This window comes from Homo sapiens, chromosome 6, assembly GCF_000001405.40.
Source record: "Homo sapiens chromosome 6, GRCh38.p14 Primary Assembly".
NCBI lineage: Eukaryota > Metazoa > Chordata > Mammalia > Primates > Hominidae > Homo > Homo sapiens.
The window spans coordinates 82639858-82663460 of record NC_000006.12 but is presented as its reverse complement, the minus strand read 5'-3'; the positions used below and the strand labels follow the sequence as shown (position 1 = coordinate 82663460).

The window sequence follows — 23603 nt, the reverse complement described above, 5'->3', positions numbered from 1 at the left end:
TAGGATTTCTTTTTCAATTATGCTTAATGAATTGTATTGAATGCCCTGTCTCTAAGGTTAGTGACATTAAATATGCTTCTAGTTCTGTTTCATGTCTTAGGCTGTCCAAAGCAATCTTTTAGAAGTGGAATTAATCTTATCACCTATGATGTTTAGACAAATGTAATGGTTTTCAATATAGTTCAATACCAAAGTCTCCACAGAAAGAGAATTCGATTAAGAGACTAGTAAAGGAGACAGAACAGATTGCTTGTAAAACATGTGACTTTTGGAGATAATAAGTGACACTTTATTTATTAAAAGAGCATTTCTGGTTAGAAAAATAAACAAAACCATCACATAACTGTGGGGATCTTCAGGGGAGGAAATGGGCCTTTTCTCCCAGGGATGCTTTCACGGGTTGTGCACAGTTTGTCAATAAACCTTGGTTTCATTAAAGAGTGTTCATCCTCATACTAATGAACCAAATTTGCCGAGAAACCCCAGAACAGCAAAATGGCAAACCTAACCCACACATTTATGTTATTGTCTACTTATTGGCTTCTGGATACAAATTGATCCTCTGTTGGCCTGTCTGTCTCAGACCTTCTAATAGGCTCAGGAACTGCCTGGGGCTTTCACTTACAAGGAGCCAATGAATCTGGTCATCCTTGGTGGTTGTTATTCTTAATAATCTTTTCCCCCGTTCTTCCAAAGGGACACCTAATAAGTGCCTTAACGCTCTATCAACATCACTGACATTATTATTGCAGAAACTTTTTACTGTTTCCTGCTTCTGGTAGCTTTAATAGGATCTTGGAGAGCACAAAGGTAATATTTCTGCTTGTCAGAAGGATTCCTTGGATTGAGCTTCTGTAATTTGAGCATTTGCTTTTGAGGCAGCAGATATGGGAAAACTATGAGCTCTTGTGTTGAATCTTTAGCCTGGTGGTTCCACAGAGATGTGCTTTGCGAATGGTGCTATTTTATTATTTGTTTTCACTTTCAGCCAGCATGTATCCATCATTCTAGTTTCAAAAGGGATATTCATGCCTTCATTAACTTATCTGGTATATAAGGAAGCAATCGTTAACACATAGACACTTGCTTTAAGGAGCTTTTGGTTTAGTTATCAACTGAATGCATACACTTTATTTTCAATGAAAATTAAATTTAAAAGATTGACTCTGTACTCTGTGAGTGATATTTTGGTTGTGACACTCATAGTGGCATATTATAAGGAGAATCCTGATACAAAAGAGGCAAGCCAACATATGTCTCTTAAATAATGCTACTTTTTTTACTTGTTTGTTTTAATAAGCAATGTCCCTTTCTAGGAAGGTATTTTGCTTCAGAGGATCTGCTAGCTGAAGTGCCACTGTGCTCCTCTGAGCACAGAACATGGATGCCTTTGGTCCCTGGTAGGAGGAGTGATGGGCCACACTTACAGATCCCAGGCGCAGAGCAACATTTTGCATGCACCCCTATTCCTTTTCCTTTAATTTTAACTCATCTGCCCTATTCTCTAAGACCCCTCATAGAGATTAGAGGATATCTAAATGAAATATTTTAGTGCTTAATTTTATTTTTGTGCTATTCCTTTTCTTTCTTGGTCTTTTAAAAAGCACCCTTGACCTCCTATATATTTTTGGTACCAATGTTTCTGAGGATGTGCTCTTTTCAATCACTACAGGAATTATTTCACAGAGAATGGGTCCAAGCTACCTGTAGTGTGACTTTAACATTGCAAGGAACCAAACCAGGGCCCAAACTGGGTGCTGAGGCCTTGTGGGGGCTGAGGGGGTAGAAGCTTAATTTTAACTTAAAGATTCAAGATTTGAGCTGAAGTATTTTTTGGGGGAAAAAGCACATGTATCAATAGATTTGGGCACAATGATTGTTTGAATAATGGCAGACATGAAGGTAGAGAAAGGAAACTATATTTAAACTTACTGTAAGGTCTCAAAACAAAGTACTTGAATGCAGAGATGAGACACTAAAGGAAGTGGAAAATGTGTAAATGTCAACTGTAAGATATATTAAAACGTAAAAAGAGTCTTTAATGGAAAGAGATTGGGAAGCACTAGTATAAGCAACCTGCCTATTTATTTTTCTTAACAAATCTATTTAAAATACTGTTAAGTCAATAAATCTCAGGTTGATTGTACATAGAAAAGTCAGATGGAGAAAATCCCATGATGAGAGAAACAATTAATGATGTGATTTCTTTACAGTTCAACCAGCAATTTTTAAGAATTGCACTCTCTGGATTCAGTTCTGAACTGGTCAGTGCAGTGGATATTGTTTGGTTTGTCAGTCAGTAAAAATGTTGCATCAAAATTGGAAACTTTTCTCTTATTCTAGGAAACTACAGATATTTTGATTTAAAAAATACCACTTTAAACATTTATATTATTTAGATTTGGGCACCATTGTGATAGCAGAAATGAAGAACAGACAGATAAATTCAGAATATATAAAAATACTGTCTACGCAGCACCATTCCAGTTGCAACATCTATACAAAAGCCAGTCTGGTAGTTTTATTTTTATATTGCAATTAGAGCTTGAGGTAAAATTTAGAGCTACCAGTATGTTTCCTTACTCAGGTATTGGATGCTCAGAAATGGACTCCTACATGGGTCATAAATCAGAAAAATGATTTGTGATGCCTTTTACCAAGGCTTGCTTTCAGAATTTTGGGACCTCCTCAGCCATAGATTTTTTTTTTTTTTTTTGGGTGAATAAGTAGCTCCATTATGGCTGTGACAATTGTGTGGATTCTAGAGTCTGTGCTGTATCTCTTTTATCTGCTGCTTTTCACCACATTCTGAATTTCACCCTCTCATGTATTTGTGTTTTTGTTCCTCTCTAGCCCTGTTCTTAATATTCATCGTTGTCGTCATCATGATGATTATCTATCTGATATTCATATAAGAGAACAGCATGTTTGCATGTTCTAGTATTTTAGAAGTTTAATTAAAAACCAGGGACTTTTAAGCTCAGTTTGATCTGTTCTTTTAATCTTTTGGTCTTTGGCAATAAAATCCTCAAAATAAAAGCATTCTAGCTATTTTTAATTCATAGATTTTTACTTATTTGAATTGTAGATTTAAGATTTTTATCAAGTGTTTGTTACGTTTCTTTAAACTTTGAGATTTCCAAAGCTTCTCTGCAGACTAAAATAGAATCCACCTGCTTCCCTCTACCACTATCATGCATTATAAAGGGTGCTTTTATCCCCCTCTTAGATGGACACCTTTGAAAAATTCTAGTGAAAAAGTAGGATGTAAAATATGGTGATTTCCTTCACAGGCAGTCTTTATGGGACTGTATCTATTTTGTAAGGTAGAAAAAATTAGTTTTACAATCAGGGCCACCCCTCTCAGTGAAAAGGGGTTCAATCCAGCCTATGATCTAGCCCTGGTCCAGCATGGAGAAAGGAAAACTCCTTTTTCTACAGGGTCCATCCAAAGAGGTGACTTTTTCCTAATTCCTACAAACCACATGGCACATGCTAGAAGCAGCCATAGTAAGATACATTGAAGCAATTAAAAAATTTTTCTACAAAAGATAAAAATTGCCCCTCATTTATCTTTTTATACAAATCCAACAATGAAGTCATTGCCAAGTACGGCAACCATAACCCAAAGTCTCTTATGTTCCTGGGAGCATCAGAAATGTTTCCATTCTCCCAAATACACACATATGTATACACACACATAAACACATATATGGAGTGAATTCATTTTCAGTATGGCTGTTGCCCTATATTTAATGATATGCCAGAAGGTTGAAGGTACTAACATTTCTGCTATACATTCATATTGGGAAGAAATTAATTATATAAAATGTTATGTTGCTTTAAATATTCTTTGACTTTAGAAAATGATTTTTCTATAAAAAACTGCTAATGTTAGAATCATAACTAAATTTGTTTATCTGGAATCCAGAGTTATAGTCTTTTCAGTGTTAACTTGCATAATCTATTCTGTTTTGATGAGGAAGAGACAATGGCCAGTAAACAAGTTGACGACAGAGAATTCTAGAAATCAACTTTCAGACTGCCATAAACTAGATGACTATATTGATTCATCATGAAATTTATCTTCCAAACCTGAGCACTTTCGAGAGTGAAAGAGAGAACTATGCTTGGACTGTAGTGTTAACTGGGACGTTCCAGGTAAAGTGAAATATATGAAGACCCTGGTTATAAATCACAGAAAAATCTTAGTTAATAATTTAACATAGACTGTAAGATATAGTATTTCACTCTTTAAAAATGTCTTAAGCATGCACTAAATGTTTTATGGTGTGCTAGTTCTTTGTTAGTGTGTACAAACATGAATCTAATACACAGGTCTCAGCTTACAAATAGGAGATAAAAGATAGGCATGTGCAGCATGGTTTGGCTCTTTAAGATGCTGCTTCTGGCCCGGTAAGATGTATCAAGGCAGCCAGAAAAACTTATAATTCTCAGAACCAAGCGTTCAATGCTCTTTTGTCACTTCCTGGTTTTGCTCCCACCTTCCTCTTCCTCACTTCGTGATCTTATCCTCCCCAACCCAGGCTTAACAGGACCTGACCACTCTTTGCCTCTCTCCTCCAACGATTCTGGAAAAATGGCAGCTTACAACATGTTTTATGGATTTCTTTTTAGCCTTTTATAGCATGAGTTAATTTTATTTGCATATGTACACTGATTTGTTAGTGTGTGGGAGATTGTTTATTAGTCAATTTTCTCTTCGATGACTTATTTAAGATTTTCAGACCACAGCTGCAACTCATTTTGTGTTTTATTATGTATTATAATTTTATTTTAAAATTGTACCATGCATGTAGAATTCTCTCCTGTCTTAACTTATTTTTATGTCATCTCTCCTTGGCAAAAGTCATGATTCTTTTATTATAATCTGTCCAATAGAGAAGGAAAACAATAATAAACCAATTAAAAAGGAGGCAAGCTTTAAATTTCTCACTGACATAGTAATACTAGACCTACTGAATCTGTTCCTCGAATCTGTTACTGTGAGACTCCTACAATATTAGATATTCATTATTTATTTCTTAGCATACAGCATTTGGAAGACAATGATTGTAACTAAAGGAAAGAGAGCTAATTGCAGAAAGTCCAATATGAGATCCAGTGATGACTGGTTCTATATTGCCCCAAGAGAAGCAGCTATTTAGCCATTATCTCTTCGATCTGATCATTACAGACAGTCAAACTAGAAAATTAAAGCCTCAAATAAAGAGCTCTCAGAGAATCTCTGGAAGGATCATTTATAAACTTGATTCAATTCTAAGAGTTTGTAATTTCAAAAGTGAGAGTAGAAGTCATATTTAGGAAAATATGAAGCCTTCAACTTTAAAGATAATCAATTCTTCCCTGTTTATTGTATGCCTAGCAATGTAGAGTGCTGGAGTTTTAGCAGCAAATAAAATAGTTCACTTCCCTGCCTTTAAGGCTTTTCACTGTAGCAAAGAAGACATTGCACATGCATGTTTCCGAGGACACATACATGGATGCATAAGAGCTATGAAGATGAATCATAGGCTGATAGACATTCGAATTTGGAGGGAGCATTTTGACTATGCAATGCCAGTACCAAGTGAAATTGTTTCTAAGAGGTGAGAGTGTTTCAGCAGGTGGAGTTAATGTGGCTGGGAAGGCAGAGGTCATGGGCAAAGGAATGAGGGAAGGGCTTGGTAGACTATAGAAAATAGTATGGTGTCCCTCAGAAAATTAAAAATAGAGTTACTATATGATTTGGCAATTCTACTTTTTGGTATATACCCAAAAGAACTGAAAGGAGAGTTTCTAAGAAATATTTGTATTCCCATGTTCACAGCAGCATTATTCACAATAGCCCAACGGTGGAAGCAACCCAACTGTCCATTGATAGATAAATGGATAAACAAAATGTGGTGTATACACACAGTGAAATATTTTTTCAGCCTTAAAAAGGAAGGAAACCCTAACACATGCTACAACTTGGAGGAACCTTGAGGACATTAAGCTAAGCAAAATAAGCCAGTCAGAAAAAGGCAAATATTGTGTTTTTCATTGATATGAGGTACCTATAGAATGGTCAAATGCATAGAGACAGAACATAGAATGGTGGTTGACAGGCTGGAGTGAGGACAAAATGTGGGGTTGTTTAAAGGGTCTAGAGTTTCACAACATGAAAATAGTTTTGGAGATTGGTTGCACATACTTAACAATATTGAACTGTACACTTCTAGTGGTTAAGATGATAAATTTTATGTTATGCATATTTTATCACAATTTTAAAAGAGAGAGAGAAAGAGATATGCTAGAGTGTGTCCATAGATCTTGAGCAGTGGAGACAAAAAAAAGGGATCAAAGTTAGCTTTAAGATTTTAAGCTTATATGACTGACTGAGAGAAAAATGGCAACATTAGTGAGGGAGAAATTGGGTGGAGAAGGTTGGTGTGGGTGGTTGGGGTAGAAAGGTTTGGTGGAGATGATGACTTGGATTTTAAAATGTTCACCTGGAGGATGTGGTGGGACATCTTGTTGGTGGTAATTTGAGAAGAAGAGCTAAAAATATGTCATTTATCCTTTTCTTAGGTTAATAAAACTTACCTATCATGTATTTGGTAAGGTTATTTATCATGATGTAAAAATGACTTTTTGAGTAATTATCCTTTTCAGGTAAAATTGTCAAAGGTTTATGGTTATGTTGCTTCAGAGTGATTTTAATGACAGAAATTCCAGGAAAAATAGCAGGGCATATGTGCTTGAACAAAGTCTTTTTATATTCCTTAGATGATACTTGATGAACAGGGAGTGACATCAGTATCCAACTTTATAACTTGAGTCAAAATTACTCAGCCCAACTATGATGGGTTTTCCCTCTCCTATAGTCTTAGATGATCTTCTGACTTTTGCCGTCCACCTGCTGTGAGGGGAAAAACAACATAATTGGTTTAAGCTCCTTGGATATTTCTCAATGAAATGGGGGTCATAATATTATATAAACTATAAAAATATACTATTATTGTGATTATTTCTACTTTTTCTCACATCGTATGACCTGCTTAGGGGAGGGGCCGTATCTTTTTTGTCTTTGTAATCCTGAGAACTAGTAAAATGCCTGGCTCACAGCAGGAATAAGTTCACAGCCTTTGATTAATTGCATCATAGATGGGTAAAATGGAAGAAACTGGAGGGGCCTCCCCTTTGCTGTCACACAAAGAGGTGAAGCTCAGACAGACAGGCTGGCTTGCCCAAAGAAGTACTAGTGGGCTAATCCAGACTAGAGCCTGGATTGCCTGACTTCTAGTCCAGTTTAACTTCCAGCTTACTTCATCATTTCATGAAAGTTCCTGAAGCTCCCAAACCTCGAGTCATATCCCATTGTACCCTTGTTAGTGCCCAGCATAGCACCTTGCACTTAGTTTTCAAATAAATGTTTACTGGGTCTTTTCCAAAGCAAAAATCAGATGAGCGGAGAAGCAGCAGCAAGAGTAACACACTCCTGAATGGTACCTAAGGTAAGCTTTTATTTGAATTGATATTCTAATACAAAGAGTTAGATGCTCAGTTATTAAATCAAATTCTGGATTAGCCTGATGAGAATGGAGTTTTTTTAATAAGCAATTTTACTTACACCAATCTTACTAGCTGTGTGTGGCAAGCCAATTGGCCGTACAGAAACTCTTTGGCTCTTTTTGGCAGATAAAGGAAGCTGCTGGAGAAAGTTAAAATCGATAAGGGTAAACACCTCCTCATAATTGCAGTATCACTTATTTATAGCAGCAGGTCTCAGATCAAATTCTGCTACACATACAGATATTTTTAAACAAATATAATTAGAAAGCAAGCATAAAATTGCACATACAACCAGCTGTGTAATCCCAATGAAATCCCTTCTGTCTGTCCTTTGGCATATTCTAACCCCTGTCTTACATGCAGAGTTTATTGGGGACAAACACAACCATACTCCAGCAGCAGGAATCCATCCTTTTATAGGCAGTATCAGGCAACTAGAAAGCCTCCTAAACCAATGGCTGAACACAGGACCGGCTAGTGGAGTGTCATCCTCGAAGGTGAAAACATAGATCTCACTGGATTTTATACCCTGTTCATAAGGAGTTGAGTGTCACCAAAATGCCTTAAACTAACCCATACCTAGATACCTTCAATGTAATCAGTAAGAGCTGGTTCTAAAATTTATCATGCTACTCACCAGGTCACTGTTTTTAATCAATAAAAATCCATTGCTGATATTCATTAAGCTAATAGCAAAGTGTTGGTTATTGGCCGAGATGTGAATCATTCAAGTTATTACGGTAGCTGCTTTGGGGAACAGATTTCCTGGGTGGAATGCCAGAAGACCATCTGGTTTGTGCATTCTTGATTAGTGCCTGACTGAAGCTCACTGTAAGTAATATAAACATGATATCACACTATGTATGTTGAGTATTTTAAAGTGCATTATAGGACAGCATAATACTATCTCAATTTTCTTTTAATTAGGTCATTTTAGATAAAATGGAGGGTTTGGGAACCAAGATGGAATTTGGGAGCTAATTTTAGTAATTAATTGTCTGAACTGGATACTTTTTTCTAATGAATGTCAATGAATTGATATCATACACATATGACATAAATGGAAACTGAACCACAGCTTAGTTAAGTGACTTCTTGAAGTGTAGATAAAATGGTATAGAGTAAGAACCAGGGACAGAATCCAGAGCCCCTGGTTTCTTTGCCAGTGTAAATTCCATGTGGGGGCCCATGGTACGAGCAGGGACATTTCTGGGAGAGAATTAAGTGAGACACTAAAATTAGGTTACCCTTAAAAACCTTTCTCTTCTCTATTGGAACTGGGGAGGCTTTAGATTATGCACTTTAGTAGACATTTATCTCTGTTCTTACCTTGGGGAGTATTATCAAATGCAATTGCCCTTTCTGCCTGTGAGGCTAGGGTCCTCCTCACCTGAGCTGAGAGATCTGATGGATGTAGCCTTCATGGATGTGCACTGAGCCCCTGGGGTTATGCTTTCCAGCCACAGGATGGTGGCAGCTATGAGGACAGTGGCTGTGATGACAGTGACTTGGCTGATTGTAAACCAAACTGTCTGGAGTTATTTCCTCCATTTTGCCTAGAGAATCCTATGTCAACATTGAACTTATCATTAGCTTTATGGTGCCCCAGATTCTAGTTGTAAACATTAAACTAGCACAACTTTTGAAATCCCAATTTTTTTTTTAACTGAGACAGAGTCTCGCTCTGTTGCCCAGGCTGGAGTGCAGTGGTGCAATCTCAGCTCACTGCAAGCTCCACCTCCCAGGTTCAAGCAATTCTCCTTCCTGAGCCTCCAGAGTAGCTGGGATTACAGGCGCCCGCCACCACAACTGGCTGATTTTTGTATTTTTAGTAGAGACAGGGTTTCACCATGTTGGCCAGGCTGGTCTCGAACTACTGACCTCAGGTGATTTGCCTGCCTTGGCCTCCCAAAGTGCTGGGGTTACAGGCATGAGCCACCACGCCAGGCCTGAAATCCCCTTTTGAAGAGTTTTATTCAAAAGTCTCTACTTCCAAGGTTTACAGACACAGAGTGACCTCCTGAGTTTCTCCCATCACCACCCCCATCCCAAATGTTGGAGACATGGAGGCCCATGAGATGGTATGGACAGAGTGGGGATTTTTTAAAAATTATGTTTTTATGCAGAAGAAGGGGCAGTCCTAACAGACTCAGTACTTTCCCATCCCCATTTCAGGTGTTTAAGACCACATAAGGAGGTAAGAGAATATTTATTGCTGCCACTGTTTGATGACTATCTTCAGTGCCCAAACTTGGTATGGGTTCTCTAATTTTGATAAATATTTTCCATCCCTTAGCCTGTACAAACATTTTAAAACCTCAGTAATGCCATAGTCATGGAAATTACTGTTTTAACCAAAGCTTCTGAGATCTTGATTGACTTCAAACACTGCTTCAAACATCTATGTCAATGACAGGGCCTTATGCCATTATTTCTGCATTACATTCTAGGCAGTGATTTACTGATGAGATGCTACCTGGCCAAAATTGAATTAAGTCTCATCCTGCATTTGAAGACTGAGGTTTTTATATAAGTTCAACTTTGTTATATAAAGTATCAATTTGTTTACCTTTTAAAAAGTGGCACTACATAGAAAGCACAGTAAAATCAAGTGACAAATAATATTTGAAAATACCAAATTATAAAATATAACTTCATCCAGTAACTATTATAAACACCTTGTTTAATGGAATTTATGAAGTTTCAGAATGCATAATTAAGTTTCTGGAAAATGCAATTTTTCCTAACATTTTTTGAGATATAAATCTATTTGGTCTTAGTAAAATAAAAGATACGTTTTTGTTTTTAAACCACTGGACTTCCTAGTTGGGTAAGTTTTAGATAATAGCTCTTAGCTTTCAAGTATGGATTCTCTCTTGTTCTCCTGTTCTCTTCTGTCAAGTCCCTCCATTCTAGTGATGATGGTGATAAAAACTAAGGTTTTATTGAGTATCTAATATTTGCCAAGAACTGTAGTGAGGATTTTATATACATAATGCCATTAAATTCCCTATTTTAGAGATGAGAAAACTGAAACTTAAAGAGGTTAAATAACTGATCTCAGGTCTTCCAGCTGGACCACAGTGGAAAAAGGATGCATACGTTGACCACATAAACTTTTGTTTTTTCTAAATTTTGTAACATTTGCTGGATTGCAATTTCTTATCTAACATTGGGATGGAGTCTCCACAGATTCCCTAGTCATTTTGAAAAAAACCCTTTTTAGTCCAGCTGTAGGTACTCCCAGCCTGGATAATTCTATCCAAGTAAGATTCTACTTAGTGGCCTTTTTGGTTGTATCAAGCAGATTTCTGAAAAATATACACAGCTCTGTAAGAGAAAGAGCCTAGTTGTATCTTAAAGATGCTCAACATAGTCTCTCTCCTCCTTCCTTCCGTCTTTCCTTTTTTCTTCTTTCCTATGTTTTGTTTTCTAAAAAGATACAAGCTTTTTTGTATTTGATTTCTTCCCCCAAATAAATACTGTAATTTAGTATTTCTACTAAATACTCCTTGTATTGATTCCTTTATAAAGGCACAGGGACTAGGCAAAAGACAGCATAGGACATGGAATGGGTTATCTGAGAATTGCTAATACGCGATGGCTTCCATGTGATTTATCATCATGTTAATTAAACTTTGACTCTATCGGTCTGCCAAAGAAAGTTAGACTCCCCTGAGCAGAGGACACACACTTGATCTTAGAATGAGAAGGGTAGATGAGTCATTTCTGTTATAAATCGATCTTGACAGGCAGTGTCAGAAACTCAGGGCCAATAAGTCAGTGTCACTTACTGAGCCCTAACCTGGCCACTGTATAATTACTCTCGGGCTTTTCCTCTTGAGTGCACCACTGTCTTTGTACTTGACAAGGTATTAATTACCAGACCTGGGAAATTCAATGTGTCTGATTTCACTCAATCACTCAAACTCATGTCATTCTCTATGCACATTACAATTAGGCATGAGTAGTAAGGCTAGTGGAAAATAAGGACTAACTTCAGCTCCACAATTCCTCCAGGCAAGCCTAAAAAGTATATGTACTCAGGTGTCAGAAAGTTTTTAGTAATTCATGCCATTCTGTGTTTTCATTGTAATTGTCACTACTATTATTGTCATCACTAGAAAATTTGCCACATGGTAAAATGATGTGATTTTTTTGGTTACATTCCTAGATCAAATGGAGTGCAATTTTTGAATTTGGAGAAAAAAAAAAGGATTTCTGCAGGTTTTCTCCAGTTTATAAAGCATATATTCTGGAAGGTAAAATGTGAGATAAATTTTATATAGCTAAAGACTCATCTTGGAATCATTTCTCTGTGAAACCGTCAATGAGCTTCATGTTTGCCTTTGACAGAGTTAGACCCCTGCCCTTTGTGTCTCCATTATACCCACAGTCTACTTCTTCTTTTTTTAATTTTTTATTATACTTTAAGTTCTGGGATATAAGGGCAGAATGTGCATGCTTGTTACAAAGGTATACACATCCCATGGTGGTTTGCTGTACCCATCAACCCGTCATCTACGTTAGGTATGTCTCCTAATGCTATCCCTCCCCTAGCCCCCACCCCCAGAAAGGCCCCAGTGTGTGATGCTCCCCTCCCTGTGTCCCTGTGTTCTCATTGTTCAACTCCCACTTATGGATGAGAACATGTGGTGTTTGGTTTTCTGTTCCTGTGTTAGTTTGCTAAGAATGATGGTTTTTCACCTTCATCCATGTCCCTACAAAGGACATGAACTCATCCTTTTTTGTAGTGGCTGCATAGTATTTCATGGTATATATGTGCCACATTTTCTTTATCCAGTCTATCATTGATGGGCATTTGGGGTGGTTCCAAGTCTTTGCTATTGTGAACAGTGCTGCAATAAACATACGTGTGCACATGTCTTTATAGTAGAATGGTTTATAATCCTTTGGGTATATATCCAATAATGGGATTGCTGGGCCAAATTGTATTTCTGGTTCTAGGTCCTTGAGGAATTGCCACACTGTCTTCCACAATGGTTGAACTAATTTACACTCCCACCAAGAGTGTAAAAGCATTCCTATTTCTCCACATCCTCTCCAGCATCTGTTGTTTCCTCACTTTTTAATGATTGCCATTCTAACTGGTGTGAGATGGTATCTCATTGTGGTTTTGATTTGCATTTCTCTAATGACCAGTGATGATGAGCTTTTTTTCCATATGTTTCTTGGCCCCATAAATGTCTTCTTTTGAGAAGTGTCTGTTCATATCCTTCGCCCACTTTTTGATGGAGTTGTTTTTTTCTTGTAAATTTGTTTAAGTTCCTTGTAGATTCTGGATATTAGTCCTTTATCAGATGGACAGATTGCAAAAATTTTCTCCCATTCTGCAGGTTGCCTGTTCACTCTGATGATAGTTTCTTTTGCTATGCAGAAGGTCTTTAGTTTAATTAGATCCCATTTGTCAGTTTTGGCTTTTGTTGCGGTTGCTTTTGGTGTTTTAGTCATGAAGTCTTTGCCCATGCCTATGTCCTGATTGGTATTGCCTAGGTGTTCTTCTAGGATTTTTATGGTTTTAGGTCTTATGTTTAAGTCTTTAACCCATCTCGAGTTGATTTTTGTATAAGGTGTAAGGAAGGGGTCCAGTTTCTGTTTTCTGTATATGGCTAGCCAGTTTTCCCAACACCATTTATTAAATAGGGAATCTTTCCCTCATTTTTTTTGGTCAGGTTTGTCAAAGATCAGATGGTTGTAGATGTGTGTTGTTATTTCTGAGGCCTCTATTCTGTTCCATTGGTCTATATATCTGTCTTGGTACCAATACCATGCTGTTTTGGTTACTGTAGACTTGTACTATAGTTTGAAGTCAGGTAGTGTGATGCCTTCTGCTTTGTTCTTTTTGCTTAGGATTGTCTTGACTATATGGGATCTTTTTTGGTTCCACATAAAATGTAAAGTAATTTTTTCTAATTCTGTGAAGAAAGTCAATGGTAGCTTGATGCGGATAGCGTTGAATCTACAAATTACTTTGGGCAGTATAGCCATTTTCACAATATTGATTCTTCCTATCCATGAGCATGGAATGTTTTTCCATTTGTTTGCGTCCTCTCTTATTTCCTTGAGCAGTGGTTTGTAGTTCTCCTTGAAGAGGTCCTTCACATCCCTTGTGAGTTGTATTCCTAGGTATTTGATTCTCTTTGTAGCAATTGTGAATGGGAGTTCACTCATGATTTGGCTCTCTGTTTGCCTATTATTGGTGTATAGAAATGCTTGTGATTTTTGCACAATGATTTTGTATCCTGAGAGTTTGCTGAAGTTTCTGATCAGCTTAAGGAGATTTTGGGCTGAGATGATGGGGTTTTCTAAATATACAATCATGTCATCTGCAAACAGAGACAATTAGACTTCCTCTCTTCCTATTTGGATACCCTTGATTTCTTTCTCTTGCCTGATTGCCCTGGCCAGAACTTCCAATACTGTGTTGAATAGGAGTGATGAGAGAAGGCATCCTTGTCTTTTGCTGGTTTTCAAAGTGAATGCTTCCAGATTTTGCCCATTCAGTATGATAGTGGCTGTGGGTTTGTCATAAATAACTCTTATTATTTTGAGATACGTTCAATTGATACCTAGTTTATTGAGAGTTTTTAGAGTAAATGGGTTTTGAATTTTATCAAAGGCCATTTCTGCATCAATTGAAATAATCATGTGGTTTTTGTCATTGGTTCTGTTTATGTGATGGATTACATTTATTGATTTGCATATGTTGAACCAGCCCTGCATCCTAAGGTGAAGCCATCATGGTGGATAAGCTTTTTGATGTGCTGCTGGATTCGGTTTGCCAGTATTTTATTGAGGATTTTTACAGCGATGTTCATCAGGGATATTGGCCTGAAATTTTCTTTTTTTGTTGTGTCTCTGCCAATTTTTGATATCAGGATGATGCTGACTTCATAAAATGAGTTAGGGAGGAGTCCCTCTTTTTTATTATTTGAAATAGTTTCAGAAGGAATGGTACCAGCTCCTCCTTGTACCTTTGGTAGAATTCAGCTGTGAATCCATCTGGTTCTGGGATTTTTTTGGTTGGTAGGCTATTAATTACTGCCTCAATTTCAGAACTTGTTATTGATCTATTCAGGGATTCAACTTCTTCCTGGTTTAGTCTTGGGATGGTGTATGTGTCCAGGAATTTATCCATTTCTTCTAGATGTTCTATTTTATTTGCATGAGGTGTTTGTAGTATTCTCTGATGGTAGTTTGTATTTCTATGGGATCAGTGGTGATCTCTTCTTTATCATTTTTTATTGTGTCTATTGATTCTTCTCCCTTTTCTTCTTTAATAGTCTGGCCAGCGGTCTATCTATTTTGTTAATCTTTTCAGAAAATCAGCTCCTGGATTCACTGATTTTTTGAAGGGTTTTTCATGTCTCTTATCTCCTTCAGTTCTGCTCTGATCTTAATTATTTCTTGTCTTCTGCTAGCTTTTGAATTTGTTTGCTCTTGCTTCTCTAGTTCTTTTAATTGTGATGTTAGGATGTTGATTTTAGATCTTTCTTGCTTTCTCCTGTGAGCATTTAGTGCTATAAATTTCCCTCTAAACAATGCTTTAGCTGTGTCCCAGAGATTCTGGTGCATTGTGTCTTTGTTCTCACTGGTTTCAAATAACTTATTTATTTCTGCCTTAATTTTGTTGTCTACCCAGTAGTCTTCAGAAGCAGGTTGTTCAGTTTCCATGTAGTTGTGAGGTTTTGAGTGAGTTTCTTAATCCTGAGTTCTAATTTGACTGTACCCTACAGTCTACTTCTTATAGCATCATAATGCTTCCTACATTTTCCCCGTTCCTCATTTCAAACAAGTATTCAGAGCTTTTTAGCCTACTGATTTCAGGATGGTTTATGTTCCTGGACTAAAAGCCAAAGTTTCCTGTCAGACACATACCTTTCAGATTTTTGAAAAGCCTGAACCCATTGAAGAGATATGCAAGGTATGTTGGAGGCCGATGGCTTAGAGAGGATTGGGCCTTTGAGAGGCTGTAGGTGGGCAGATCACCTGAGGTCAGGAGTTCGAGACTAGCCTGGCCAACATAGTGAAACTCCCTCTCTACTAAAAATACAAAAATTAGTCAGGCATTGTGGTGGGCGTGTGTATTACTAGCTACTTGGGAGGCTGAGGCAGGATAATCGCTTGAACCCAGGAGGCAGAGGTTGCAGTGAGCCAAGGTCATGCCATTGTACTCTAGCCTGGGCAACAAGAGTGAAACTGCATCAAAAAAAAAAAAAAAGGAGAAGAAAATAAAATAAAATAAAATAAAATAAATAGGATAGCAGAGAGTTAGTAGAATCTGGGGGATGAAGGGCATAGTACCCAGAAAGAGCAGGGGCTTGCATTCTGCTCTGAAGCGGCACCTGAGAAGATGGCATGACTCAGAGGGTAAGGCTGGGGGCTCCGTATAGATGCCCATTTCCCACACTGGGACAGAGCAATAGGGCTGAATCTGAAGGGACCATGCTGACTCTACAGTGGGCATATTCCGCCAGCCACAGAAGACTTTGAGCTGATGGCCACAGGGCTTCCTGGTGCTTTGTTACTATCTGAGAGCTTTGGTGTTTGCCTGGCCCTTCTGGGTTACTCCCAGAACCATTTCAGATATGCCTTCTGTCCAGTAATTTAAAGTAACCAATGCCCTCACAACAAAACTGACCATTGTTAATAAAAAATGTAGCTCTGCTTTCCTACAAGGCATAACAAGAACTTTATTCTCTATTTTAAAACCCTTTGCCAGGCCCTAAGTCTATTGTGTTTTTTCCTAATCTACTTTGCAGTGTTATTCAAACTCTAATATGATTCTTACTTCTTTGGGAAATTTGAGACCTCGATATTAAATGGTGACCCTAGCAACTCTGGTCCTTCCATTGATTTTAGCTACTGTGCATAGCTCTTGACTATCTGAAATAGGTACATTATTGAGATTAAGGTGGGTAAACCTGGGATTTGTCCTCTATGGGTGAGCAGATGGTTCTGAGAAGGAAGTCTAGGGAAGAAAGAATGAATCCCAAGTTGGAATGATCGGACTAGACTAAAGCTGAGCAAGCAAAGATATACAGAACTTGGACTGAGGAGGGTGAGATAAGGAAGGGCCAGAGGCCTGGCTTCAGGGGTGTCTGTCTACTTCTGTGAAGTTCTGTCTGCAGAATGAAAAGACAGAAATATATTGTCAGTGATCCACATTTGTTGGGCATCACTAGCTCCTACCAATGAATGTACAGGATTAAAAAGATAAATAATAGTCACAATGAACTTACTTTAGGAGCTTTGGAATTCCCCAGGTGAGCTGGATGGTCCTGTTGCTGCCAGTAGACACCCAATAACACATTTGCTCTTATAGTTTATCTTCATAGCCATAAGGTATTTGTTCCATTTCCCTTATGTCCTGAATTGGTTCCTCTGTTCTCACTGACACTGTCTTCCTTAAATCATAAACGCCTAGAGGTTAGGCATCATGTCTGTTTAATTAGCTCTGTAAAATGCCTAGCACAGCTCTATACACAAGAAAGTATTAAATGTGCTTGGATAATGAGTCAATGTTTGAAAAGTGGAAAAGGGCTCTGAGTCACTTAAAATAAAGATCACAGTTCACAGGATCCTTTTAAGTCTCCTGTTAGGACTCTTTTTAGTTGTCAAAAAGTATCTTGGAGATAGGGGTGTCACTAGGGGTACATTGGGAGCTGATGTTTATTTCTGTGCACAGGAATGAGTTTCTCAAGTTCAAACTTGTGGGCCTAGGTTGAACTAAGGCACCCATGTAGATGCTGTGTTGAGTGTAAGGAAAAGACGACTGATTCCAATCCCTCTGAACACCCCTTTCCCTATGCCCTTCTCTCAGGAAGCATGGGCAGCTGGTTCCAAGACCTGCCTGCAATAGATGTGAGCCTGGCCCTGGGGCAATGAAATATGTGGATAAAATGACTTGCTTCATCCCTTTGCTGAAAGCAGAGGCCAAAAACCCTTGCCAAACAAAAACCCAAAAGCCTCGTTTGCTCAAAAAATGACCACAAATTATCAAAGTTATAAAGAACAAGAAAAAATCCATACTTCTCTTTGAGTGGTCAATTTTGGACAGCCATTGTCCTTGAAATGTTAAGGGTTATGTAGATGAATGTATCCATGACAGCACTTGAGACACAATTGGACCAGGGAGGACAGGGCTATTGTTGACTCTGACAATGGACAGGAAGGAATTGAGCTCACATGGGCCTAAGAGCCAAGGAGCTAATGAGGTCAACGATCCAGGAATTAAAAAAAAATCCTGTGAAGAGCTTTGAAATGTTCACCTGTAATAGTTCTGGAGCTGTTAGCACAAGCTGTCATATCTGCAGGCCCTATTTCAATAACTGCTTTAAGTATCCAGTGTGTTAAATATCACACACTTGAAGACTTTACTTGGCTGGTATTTACTGAAGGTGACAGCTAGTAAAAGTTCCAAACAGGCTTATGAAATATGCAATTAAGACTCTGGAGAGGAGACTTGAGAGGAAAGATGGTTAGTACAAAAGAAGAGCAAATCTCTGGAAGCTTTTGTTTGATTTGATTAATTACCTTAGATTTACATTGGAGGAGGAGGATCTCAAAGGCAGAGTTTGGAGTGATGGATGCCTGGTGACTTTGTTCTACAGCCCACCTGTGATCTAGGAGCTTGAGCTCTTCAGGCAGATTCAGCCACAGAGATGGTCCGTTCCCTGCCCTTTGCTTTTCTGTCTGCTCTATACCTCTGGATCTCATTGGTGCTTATGTCTTCTAACAGCTTAAAGCAGATGGCTTTCAACTGTGTATCTCAATCTCTCTTCTGAGTGTCTGTCACACATTCAAAATTATTCACTGGATGTTTCTACTTGGAAACTAAAATGCAGCCTGGATGAACCTAACTCACCACCTTCCATCAAGAACTGCTTGTCCTCTCCTAACTTGTCCTGGTTCTGAGGGATACATGTCCCCTGTTTTTCTGTACCGCCAATAGGGAACCTTGAGGTCACTGTTGACTTCTCCCTGTTCCCACCTATCCCATAAATAATCACTCATCAGAACTAGTTTATTCTTCTCCCAATATCCTTTCCTGCAACTTGGACATGTCAGGCCCTTTTCTCGGCAGCCTTGGATTATTTCTTTTGTCTAGGTATTGTGCCTTTCTATGGTTCAATCTTTCATAAGTCTGGTAGTTTGTATTACTAAGCCTTTTTCAGAATGTTATATACTTGGAATCATACAGAATGTTGACCTTTTCAGATTGGCTTCTTTCACATAACAACATGCGTTTAAAGTTCTTCTGTCTCTTTTCATAACTAGACCGCATATTTCTTCTTTGTGCTGAATAAATTCCACTGTTGGGATATACCACAGTTTGTTCGACTATTCACCTATTGAAGGACATCTTGGTTACTTCCAAGTTTTGTTAATTATGGGCTAAGCATCTGTAGTCAGAAAATCTGAAATCCAAAATGTTTCAAAATCCAAAACTTTTTGAGCACCAACATGATGCCACAAGTGGAAAATTCCACACCTGAACTCACGTGCCATTGTTAGTTCCTGCTGTTGTTTAACAGCTGATACGAGTATCCTAATGATGCTACTATGCTGCTTAGTTATCCTGAACACATTTTTTTACTATATTAATGATATGTCTTTTTTTTACTGTTAAGTACTTACATGTGAATAAATATGAGAAAATGATTGTTTATTGGTAGCTATAAATTCAGAGTCAGGAATGATGGTGATGCCAAACAGCCACAGATTGTCTACATAAGTGCTGAGATAGTGATATATTCGCTTTCTGATGGCTTAATGTATACAAACTTTGTTTCATGCACAAAATTATTAAAAATATTCTATCACTTACCTTCAGGCTATATATATAACATGTATATATAAGGTAAATATAAAACATAAAGAAATGTCATGTTGAGACTTGGGCCCCATCCCTAAGATATTTTATTATGTATATACAAATATTCCAAAACCTGAAAACATTCAAAATCTGAAACACTTTTGGTCCCAAGCATTTCAGATATGAGAATCTCAACCTGTACAAATAAAGCTCCTACAAATATCCATGTATGGGTTATCTAGACATAAGTTTTCAACTCATTTAGGTAAATCAAGGAGCATGACTTGTGGGTCATTGGTAAGAATGTGTTGAGCTTTGTAAGAAACTGCTAAACTGTATTCTAAGTGACTTTCCCATTTTGCATTCCCACCAGGAATGAATGAAAGTTCCTGTTAGTCCATATCCTTGTCAGCACTTCCGCGTTGTCAGAGTTTTGGATTTTAGCCATTCTAATAGATGCATAGTGTTATTTATTTATTTATTTATTTATATTTCAATAGTTTTGCGGGAGCAGGCTGTGTTTCATTGCATGGAAAAGTTATTTAGTGGTGATTTCTGAGATTTTGGTGCACCCATCACCTGAGCAGTGTACACTGTACCCAGTATGTAGTCTTTTATCCCTCACTCCCCTCCCACACTTCCCCGAGTCCCCAAAATCCATTATATCATTCTTATGTCTGAGTCCTCGTAGCTTAGCTCCTGCTTATAAGTGAAAACAAAACAAAACAAAATGGCTGGGTGCAGTGGTTCATGCCTGTAATCCCAGCATTTTGGGAGGCTGAGGTGGGCGGATCATGAGGTCAAGAGATCGAGACCATCCTGGCCAACATGGTGAAACCCTGTCTCTACTAAAAGTACAAAAATTAGCTGGGCATGGTGGCATGCACCTGTAGTCCCAGCTACTCAGGAGGCTGAGGCAGGAGAATTGCTTGAACACGGGAGGCTGAGGTTGGATGTTTGGTTTTCCATTCCTGAGTTAATTCACTTAGCAGAATAATGGACTTGGACTCCATCCAGGTTGTGTGAATGCCATTATTTTGTTCCTTTTTATGGCTGAGTAGTATTCCATAATATATATATATATATATATATATATATATATATATATATATATATATATATATGTGTGTGTGTGTGTGTGTGTGTGTGTGTGTGTGTGTGTGTGTGTATCACATTTTCTTTATCCACTCATTGGTTGATGGGCATTTAGGCTGTTTCTATATTTTTGCAATTGTGAATTGTGCTCTATAAACATGTGTGTGCAAGTGTCTTTTTCTTGTAATGATGTCTTTTCCTCTGGGTAAATACCCAGTAGTGGGATTACTGGATCAAATGGTAGATCTACTTTTAATTCTTTAAGGAATCTCCATGCTGTTTTCCATAGTGGTTGTACGAGTTTACATTCCCACCAGTAGTGTAAAAGTGTTCCCTTTCACCACATTCATGTCAACATCAATTTTTTTTATTTTTAAATTTTGGCCATCCTTGCAGGAGTAAGGTGCTATCTCATTGTGTTTTTTATTTGCATTTCCCCTGTTAATTAGTGATATTGAGCATTTTTTCATGTTTGTTGGCCATTTCTATATCTTCTTCTGAGAATTGTCTATTCATATCTTTTGCCCACTTTTTGATGGGGATTATTTCCTTTTTTCTTGCTGATCTATTTGAGTTCTTTGTAGATTATGGATATTAGTTCTTCTTTAGATGCATAGTTTTCAAATATTTCCTCCCACTCTGTAGGTTGTCTGTTTACTCTGCTGATTATTTATTTTGCTCTACAGAAACTTAAACTTAATTAGGTCCCATCTATTTTCTTTGTTTTTGTTGCATTTACTTTTGGGTTCTTGGTCATGAAGTCTTTGCCTAAGCCAATGTCTAGAAGAGTTTTTCTGATGTTATCTTCTAGAATTTTTAAGGTTTCAGGTCTTAGGTTCAAGTCTTTGACCCATCTTGAGTTGATTTTTATATAAGGTGAGAGATGAGGATCCAGCTTCATTCCTCTATTTGTGCCAATTATCCCAGCACCATTTGTTGAATAGGGCAGCCTTTTTCAACTTTATATTTTGGTTTGTTTTGTCGACAATCAGTTGGCTGTAAGTGTTTGGCTTTGTTTCTGGATTCTCTATTCTGTTCTGTTGGTTTACATGCCTGTTTTTATACCAGTACCATGCTGTTTTTATATGAGTACCATGCTGTTTTTGGTAACTATATTCTTTTAGCATAGTTTGAAGTTAGGTAATGTGATGCCTCCAGATTTGTTCTTTTTGCTTAGTCTTGCTTTGGCTGTGTGGGCTCTTTTTGGGTTCCATATGAATTTTAGGATTTTTTTTCTAGTTTTGTGAAGAATGATGATGATATTTTGAGGCAAATTGCATTGAATTTGTAGATTGCTTTTGGCATTATGGTCATTTCCACAGTGTTGTTTCTACCCATGCATGAGTATGGGATGTATTTCCATTTTTTTGTGTCATCTATGATTTCTTTCAGCAGTGTTTTTAGTTTTCTTCGTAGAGAGCTTTCACCTCTTTAGTTATGTATATTGCTAAGTATTTTATTTGTTTAGCTGTTGTAAAAATGGTTGAGTTCTTGATTTGATTCTCTGTTTGATCATTGTTGGTGTATAGCAGTGCTACTGATTTGTGTACCTTAATTCTTTATCCTGAAACATTATGGAATTCATTTATCAGATCTAGGAGCTTTTTGGATGAGTCTTTAGGGTTTTCCAGGTATACGATCATACCATCAGTTAACAGTGACAGTTTGACTTCCTCTTTACTGATTTGGATGCCCTTTATTTCTCTCTCTTGTCTGATTGCTCTGGCTAGGACTTCCAGTCCTATGTTGAATAGAAGTGGTGAAAGTGGGCATCCTTGTCTTTTTCCAGTTCTCCGGGTGAATGCTTTCAACTTTTCCCCGTTCAGTATAATGTTGGTTGTGGGTTTATTATAGATGGCTTTTATTACCTTGAAATATGTCCCTTCTATACAGATTTTTCTGAGGGTTTTAATCATAAAGAGATGCTGGATGTTGTCAAATGCTTTTTCTGCATCTATTGAGATGATCATATGATTTTTGTTTTTAATTCTGTTTATGTGATATATCACATGTACTCACTTGCCTATGTTAAACCATCCCTGCATCCCTGGTATAAAACCCACTTGATCATGGTGTATTATCTTTTTGATATGCTATTGGATTTGGTTAGCTAGTATTTTGTTGAGGATTTTTGCATCTATGTTCACCAGGGATATTGGTACGTAGTTTTCTTTTTTTGTTATGTCCTTTCCTGGTTTTGGTATTAGGGTAATACTGGCTTCATATAATGATTTAAAGGATTTCCTGTTTCTCTGTCTTTTGGAATAGTTTCAGTAAGATTGCTACCAATTCTTTTTTTAATTCCTGATAGAATTCAGCTGTGAAACCATCTGGTCCTGGACTTTTTTTTGTTAGCAATTTTAAAATTACTGTTTCAATTTGGCTACTTGTTATTGGTCTGCTCAGAGTTTCTATTTCTTCCTGATTTAATCTAGGAGGATTATATATTTCCAGGAATTTATCTGTCTCCTCTAGATCTAGCTGGTGTGTGTAAAGGCATTCATGGTAGCCTTGAATGATATTTTGTATCTCTGTGATATTGGTTGTAATATCTCCTATTTTGTTTCTAATTGAACTAATTTGGATCTTTTATTGGTTAATCTTGCTAATGGTCTATCAATTTTGTTTATCTTTTCAGAGAACCACCTTTTTGTTTTATTTATCTTTTGTATTTTTGTTGTTGTTGCTGTTGTTTCAATTTCATTTAGTTGTGCTCTGACCTTTGTTATTTACTTTCTTCTGCTGGATGTGGGTTTGGTTTGTTCTTGTTTCTCTAGTTCCTTGAGATGTAACCTTAGCAATCTAAATTGTCTATTTGTGCTCTTTCGGATTTGTGATTAGGCATTTGATGCTATAAACTTTTCTCTTAGCACCACTTTTGCTGTGTTCTAATTGTGTCACTATTATTGTTCAGTTCAAATAATTTTTTAATTTCCATATTGATTTCATTGTTGACCCAAAGATCATTCAAGAGTAGATTATTTAATTTCCATGTTTTTATATAGTTTTGAGGATTCCTTTTGGAATTGATTTCCCCTTTTATTCCACTGTGATCTGAGAAGGTACTTAATATAATTTTGATTTTCCTACATTTGTTGAGATTTGTTTTGTG

At 37.4% G+C, this 23603-nt stretch overlaps 1 long non-coding RNA gene across 2 annotated transcripts in view, besides 1 other annotated feature; it reads left to right on the top strand.

Moving 5' to 3' along the window:
- The window catches only part of LOC105377876 (uncharacterized), a 90717-nt gene that overhangs the window by 25024 nt on the left and 42090 nt on the right, over positions 1-23603 (top strand). The window lies entirely within an intron of this gene.
- Positions 16522-16722: a silencer, noted in NCBI's record as "peak5925 fragment used in MPRA reporter construct". NCBI's record gives its function as "represses an SCP1 promoter by STARR-seq MPRAs in K562 erythroleukemia cells {active_cell/tissue: K562}" and the evidence as "EXISTENCE:reporter gene assay evidence [ECO:0000049][PMID:32103011]".